Raw genomic sequence first — 7,356 nt, 5'->3', positions numbered from 1 at the left:
ACCTCCCAGGAATAAAGCCTACTTTATTGCGGTATATTAACTTTATAATGTGCTGATGGATTCGGTTTGCTAATATTTTGTTGAGGATTTTGTGTCTATGTTCATCAGGGATATTGGCCTGGGGTGTTTTATATTTTTTTGTTTGCTTTTCTTTGTATCTCTGCCACATTTTGATATCAGGCTGATGCTGGCTTCACAGAATGAGTTAGGGAGGAGCCCCTCCTGCTCCTCCTGCTCAATATTTTCAGTAGGATTGGTATTAGTTCTTCTTTCTAGATTTGGTAGCATTTGGCTGTGAATCCATCTGGTCCAGGGCTTTTTTTTTTTTTTTTTTTTTGGTTGGTAGGCTCTTTATTACTGATTCAATTTCAGAAGTTGTTATCTTTCTGTTTTCTGGTTTAATCTCTTCCTGGTTCAACCTTGGGAGATTGTGTGCTTCCAGAAATTTATCCACTTCCTCTAGATTTTCTAATTTTTGTGCATAGAGTTTTACACAGTCCTCTCTGAGGAGCTTTTGCATTTCTGCAAGATCAGTTGTAATATCCCTTTGTCATCTCTGATTGTGCTTATTTGGATCTTTTTATTTTTCTTTGTTAAGCTAGCAAGTGGTCTATCAATCTTATTTTTAAAAACTCTTGTTTTCATTGATCTTTCGTATGGATGTTTGCATCTCAATTTCATTAGGTTCTTCTCTAATTTTAGTTATTATTTTCTTCTGCAAGCTTTTTTTTCTAGTTCCGCTAGGTGCAAAGTTAGATATTTAAATTGAGATCTTTCTAACTTCTTGATGAAGGTGTTTATTTCTATAAACTTTCTTCTTGACGCTGCTTTAGCTGCATCCAGAAATTTTGATAAGTTGTGTCCTAATTTGTATTAATTTCAAAGATTTTTTAAAAAAATTTTGCCTTAATTTCAATGTTCACACAAGAGTTTTTCAGGTGTAAGTTGTTTAGTTTTCATGTATTTGTGTAGTTTTGAGTGACTTTTTTTGATATTGATTTCTATTTTTTTTGCACTGTGGTCCAAGTGTATCCTTTATGTGATCTCAATTTAAAAAATTCATTGATATTTGCTTTGTTACTGAGCATGTGGTCAATCTTAGAATATGTCCTGTGTGCAGATTAGAAGAATGCATATCCTGTGGTTGTTAGGTGGAATATTCTGTAGATGTCTATTAGGTCTAGCTGATCAAGTGTCAAATTTAACTCTAGAGATTCTTTTTTAGTTTTCTTCCTCAAAGAGCTATCACTTTCAGTGTGGTGTTAAAGTCTCCCACTATTATTGTGTGGTTGTCTAAGTCTTTTCATAGGCTAAGAAGAATTTGTTTTATGAATCTGAGTGCTGCAATGTTGACTGCATATATATTTAGGAGAGTTAAGGCTTCTTGTTGGATTATATCCTTTAATATTATGCAATGATCTTCAGTATCCTTCTTAATTTTTATTGGCTTAAAGTCTGTTTTATTTGATATAATATTAGTGACTCTTATTTTGTTTTGTTTGTTTTCTATTTGCATGGTAGATCTTACTCCACTCTTTAAATTTGAGCCTGTGGATGTCATTACATGAGAGATGGATCTATTGAAGATAACAGTAACTTATCTTTTTATTCAGCCTGCTACTTTGTGTCTTTAAGTGGGACATTTAGCCTATTTACATTCAAGGTTAGTATTGGTATATGTGATTTTGATCCTGTCATCATGTTGTGTTATCTGGTCATTATGTAGACTTGATTATGTAGTTGCTTTATAGTGCTTGTGGGCTATGTGCTTAAGGGTGTTTTTGTTGTAGCAGGTGTCATCCTTTTGATTCTATGTTTAGCACTCCCTTAAGGACTTATAAGGCTGGTCTAGTTGAAATCTATTCCTTTAGCATTTGCTTGTCTGAAAAGGATGTTATTTCTCATTTATTTGTGAAGCATAGTTTGGCAGGATAAAATTTTTTGTTGTAATTTCTTTTCTTTAGGGATTCTGAAAATAGGTTCTCAATCTCTTCTATGTCTTCTGGCTTGTAATATTTCCGCTAAGAGGTCTGTTATTAGCCTGATGGGGTTCCCAGTGCAAGTGACCTGCTCCTTCTCTGTAGCTACCTTTAAGATTTTTTCTTCTGCATTGACTTTGATCACTATTTGATCTAGTGAATATGATATCTATGTGCCTTTGGTATGGTTATCTTGTATAGTATCTGGTCAGAGTTCTCTGCATTTCTTGAATTTGTACGCTAACCACTCTAGCAAGATTAGAGAAATTTTCACAGACTATATCCTCAAAATATATTTTTGAAATTGCTTATTTTCTTAGGAAAATAACATTTTTATTTTATTTTGTTCTTATTTTATTTCTCTCAGGAATGCCAGTGAGTTGTAGATTTGATCTCTATATATATAATCCCATATTGATATATGAGTTAAGAAGAAATTACTTAGGTAGACAGTGAGGGTACAGGAGTCCTCAGAAAGGTTCGCATTTTAATGAAAAGCAGCCCCCAAATCATTTTCTTTTCTAACAAAGAGAAGCCTGTAAAAACAAGCTGCAGACATAGACAAGCAAGCTGGAAGCTTGCACAGATGAATGCTGGCAGTTGTGCCAATAGGAAAGGCTACCTGGGATGTTCAAAGGCATGTTTGAAATGACAGCTCCATGTTTCCTTCTCATTGCCAACCATGTGTACAGTAAAGAGCAGATAATATGGCACCAGCCAAGTGGAAAGCCCATTTGCATAATAAGATTAGTGTGGGGTGACCAGCCTACCCCATGAGCTATATAAACAACACACCTGATGGAACCAATCTGTTGTGCCCTACTTAAATCAGACACCACCTCCTGAAGCCTGCCTATAAATTCTAATGCAGTCTGCCATGGGCTGGGTTTTCCTTTTGGAAGCCCCTCTCTCTCACAAGGGAGACAGCTGAATTCTCCTTTCTCTTTCTTTTGCCTATTAAACCTCCTCTCCTAAACCCACTCCTCATGCGTGTTCGTGTCTTTAATCTTCTTGGTGCGAGACAACAAGCCCCAGGTATTTACCCCAGACAATGACACCACATTAATATCTCTTGTAGGTTTCGTTCGTTTCTCTAATTAAAAAAATATTGAGTTGATTTAAAGAACTGGTCTTTGAGCTCTGAATTTCTTTCTTCATCTTAGTCTGTTTGGCTGTTGATACTTCCAATTGTATTACAACATTCTTTTTATTTTTATTTTTAATTATTTCTTTTAGACAGAGTCTCCCTCTGTCGCCCAGGCTGGAGTTCAGTGGCTCGATCTCGGCTCACAGCAACATCTGCCCCCTGGGTTCAAGCAATTCTCCTGCCTCAGCCTCCCAAATAGCTGAGATTACAAGTGCCCACCACCATGCCCGGCTAACTTTTGTATTTTTAGTAGAGATGGGGTTTCACCATGTTGGCCAGGATGGTCTCGAACTCCTGACCTCAGGTGATCCACCCTCCTCAGCCTCCCAAAATGCTGGGATTACAGGCATGAGCCACCATGCCTGGCTGTATTACAACATTCTTATAGTAAATTTTTCAGCTCAAAAAGTTCAGTTTGAGCCTTTCTTAAAATGGCTTTTTCCTTTTTCAGCTCTTGACTCACTTTACTGGACTGCTTGGCTTCCTTGGATTGACTTTCTATTTTCTCCTGGATCTTGATGAGGATTCTTGTTATCCAGATTCTGAATTCCATGTCTGCCATTTAAGACATTTCAGACTGGTTATAGATCATTGCTGGGGAGCTAGTGCGCTTTTTTGGAGGTAAGGGGACACTGGCTTTTTGAATTTCCAGAGTTCTTGCCCTGATTCTTTCTCATCTGGGAGGTTTGGTATTCCTTTAACTGTGGTGTAAATTGAGTTTAGTCAGGTGGCTTTGTTTTGGAAATTTTTAGAGGGCTAAGGCTATGTACAGGGTCTTTGTTATTGAATTCTTACCCTTGCCTACACAGGGGTGAGAATGAGTGCTTTTTGGTGTTGTAGTTTAGGCTGCTATCCCGCAGATGGCACTTGAAAGCAATGGGCAGTAAATAAGCTCTTGCTCAGCCATGGCTTTTTGTGTATTCTCACTTTTGTAGCTATATACTGCCCTGTGACCGGGAGAGACGTGATCCCCTCAATACTCCCACTCCTGGGTTTTGGGGGAGCCATCTTTAAACACTGGCATTGTGCCCCCAAAGTTGTTGTTGTTGTTAGGTCTTTCTGACCAGAGGGCTGTCCTGGGGAGAGGTCCAGTAAGAAGATGAGTCACACACTTACTGGACAAACCCTGTGGAGGGAGGTACGCCCAGGTCCCATACCAACCCATGGACCTGTGCCACTTAACCCTCTCATTTTGTAAGAGTGTCTGCTCTTCCCCGCATCGAGAGCCAGGCACAGATCCTGTCATGGCACTCCTGAACCACAGGCTACAGCCCTCAAGCTCCAAGATCTGCTCATGGCTATTTCCTCCAGGCCCTCAGGGTGGGGTTCCAGGTGCACTGGGTGACCCCAAACACTTCTAGGCTAATGGAATGCACTCTGTAGAAACGAAGCGCCCACGTTAGCAGTAGAGGCTGCACTGTGTACATTCTCCTGCGGGTGGCCAGGCAGAAGCCCGGAATGGGACTGATGGATAGGGGGGCCTGCAGGACAGGCATTCCCCAGTCCTGCAAGGAGGCAAGCACAGTGACTAGTTGGGGCCAGAACCTCTCAGAGGGAGATGGGCAGCCCTGAAGAGGCGGGGGTGGGCACTTATAGCTAGGCTCCGCCAGAGCTATCCCATACTAAAAGTTTCCTGGCTCCATGCTTCCTACAGCTCCATTTCCATTTAATTTCTGGGAAAATCCCCCTGCCAGCTCAAACGCCCATGGGGATGTGGGGTCGCCTGCAGCTAGAATATCAAAGGTCCATGGCAAGAGTAAGTAGTCCCCCAGCCCTTTCATTCACCCTTTCTTCAAGGACTATTAAGGGCTAGGAACCAGCCCTGAGATTCAGGCACTCCGTGAGACATTCCCAGGTGCCTCCCATTTAAGCCTCATTTATATCTTTTCTCCATCCACATTCAGCATTTTCTCTCCCAACAGCTGTTCAAATTTTGTTGATTTAGTCGAAATCCCAGTCTTTCTGTGTGGGAGTGACCGTTTCCACGTGCATCTAGTTGGCCATCTTACCCCTGACTCTTCTTCCTCATTTTAACCACAATTGCCTGCCAGTGAAGAACATTATGGTAATGAGTGCGGTTTCAGGCACTCACTTAATTTTATTAAGCTGCCAGCATTTTTATACACCATTGTTTTTTCTCTGTCGGTGCAAATGTCAGCACAGTGGAAAAGGCAAATAATCATTAGTATTATTATAGAAATAGGGTTGAGATTCTAGATATCTTGAAAAGGTTTCTAGGACCATCAATTGTAGGGAGACCACAGTTTAAGACCCACTTCGGTGAAGAAATATGCTGTAACAGGGACTTAGTTTGGGCAGTAACAGTCATAAAGACCTGGTGTTATCATGCTTTTTACCACAGGGCAATTTGTAAGAAGATAAGAGAAGGAAAAATTTAGGTCTTTGACATCCTTAACAAATATTTCTCACACACACATACAAACTTTATAACAATCTAGAGTCCACTCTCATGACCTCTCATTCCCAAGACAGACTTTGACATGGTATTTATCAGTTTGATTACTTGTGTTAGTAGTGTACAATGTAGGAGACAGGAATAAATTGACAGAGATTCTCTATTCATTATTCTACTTATGTTCTTTCATTTCAAATACTAAATTACCCAATAAGCCATAAATATTTCAGCATACTTCATGACAGGGAGCACAGAAAAGAATAGAGAGTTCTCAAAGCTTAGAAAAGATGTTACATTCTGAAAGTAAACAGAAGGAAGTAGGTGAGCTGATGTTCAACTTTATCTCTTTCATCACAAATTTGCCTTAGGCTGACTCTGTTCATCTTTAATTCTAAAATCAGACAAGTGTAACTATGCACATAGATCTGTTTGTTTTGCACTTGTATGGCTTAGTGGAAACATTAATGCTCAGCAAAGCATAAGATTTACCTAAAATAAAATGTGACTATTTCCAGTGTAACTTCAAAAATAAACAAGTAGAAATAGATCCTTTATCCCTGTTTAAATATAAATCAATTGAAATTGTTAGTCATAAATATGTATTATATCATTTATGAACATCCTTAAACATGGACTTAGGAAACAACAAGGCTTACAAGATAGTACAAGAGAAAAATTATTTCCAAATACTTTTAAATGGACCAAGGAAACATCTTAGGTAACGAGTTTTAGTTAATAATATATTTCATTATGGAACATAGTCCTGGACATTTTTTTTCTTGGTCCCAATTCAGACCTTCATTCCAGACTGCCAATTCAATATTTTGCCTCAATGATGCTGATATCTTTCCACTATGATTCATGCCTTTGAAATGGAAGATGCTCCTGAGAGGATAAGGACACTCAGTATGCCAAATACTAAGATTTAGTGAATAAATGATCATGAGATAGAAATAATAAAATGAACACATACACACATAATGATATTTAATAGTTTCAAATCACCAATTAGTTTATAATAGAATTATTATTTCTATATACAAATCTTAATTCCACTATATCTGTTATTTCATTAAGCATTATCCTCCTATGACCTATATACATGTTTTCTTGTTATCCCATGAAATTAAATAGGCATACTTGTAAAAACAGCTAAGTTTGTAAAAGAAGCAGTTTCAAAATAGAACAGTTTCTTCATGTAATATATAATCACATTACTAGATCCTTTATATTACTCAGAAACATATATATAAATATATATATATATTGAGCTTTCATGCCAAGCTATCAGTCAAATACATTATACCACCATATCTAACTATAGATAATATTTAATATATAGATATATAGATAAAATTATTTTGAACATACAGTTTCAAATAGATTTTATTCAATAACTATATTCAGTAGGCATTTTGAGAATCTATGTTATGTCACTCACTGTGTTTCAGATAGGAAATATGGAGGGTTTTCTCCATTTAAGGCATATATATGTATACACACACACTATATGTATATATGCTACGTATATATACATTTCTCCTTTTAAGCCATCTATCTATCTGTCTGTCTCTCTATCTATCTATCAACCTATCTATCTGGTGGCATAATGTATTTGACTGATATATTGCCATGAAAGCTCAATACATCTTATGCCAGTTATCATAAGGCATCTTGTGATACTTTGTCAAAAATTTCATGTATTCTTTTCTTCATTCTATAATGACTGATTAACTCACAAAGGCAGTGAAAGAGAGCATTGTTAATTTTCCAGTTATTCTCTGGGTCAATGTAGTTTCTGATTCTAATATGAA

The 7,356-nt window shown here is 37.7% G+C and overlaps 1 annotated feature.

Moving 5' to 3' along the window:
- Positions 3,629 to 4,345: an enhancer, noted in NCBI's record as "OCT4-NANOG-H3K4me1 hESC enhancer chr8:114992841-114993557 (GRCh37/hg19 assembly coordinates)". NCBI's record gives its function as "activates a minimal SCP1, AML or CMV promoter by ChIP-STARR-seq in naive and primed H9 embryonic stem cells {active_cell/tissue: H9 hESC(naive and primed)}" and the evidence as "EXISTENCE:reporter gene assay evidence [ECO:0000049][PMID:30033119]".

The sequence above is a fragment of the Homo sapiens genome, chromosome 8 (genome assembly GCF_000001405.40).
Source record: "Homo sapiens chromosome 8, GRCh38.p14 Primary Assembly".
In the NCBI taxonomy this organism is placed as follows: Eukaryota; Metazoa; Chordata; class Mammalia; order Primates; family Hominidae; genus Homo; species Homo sapiens.
This window is presented reverse-complemented; position numbering and strand designations above follow the sequence as displayed.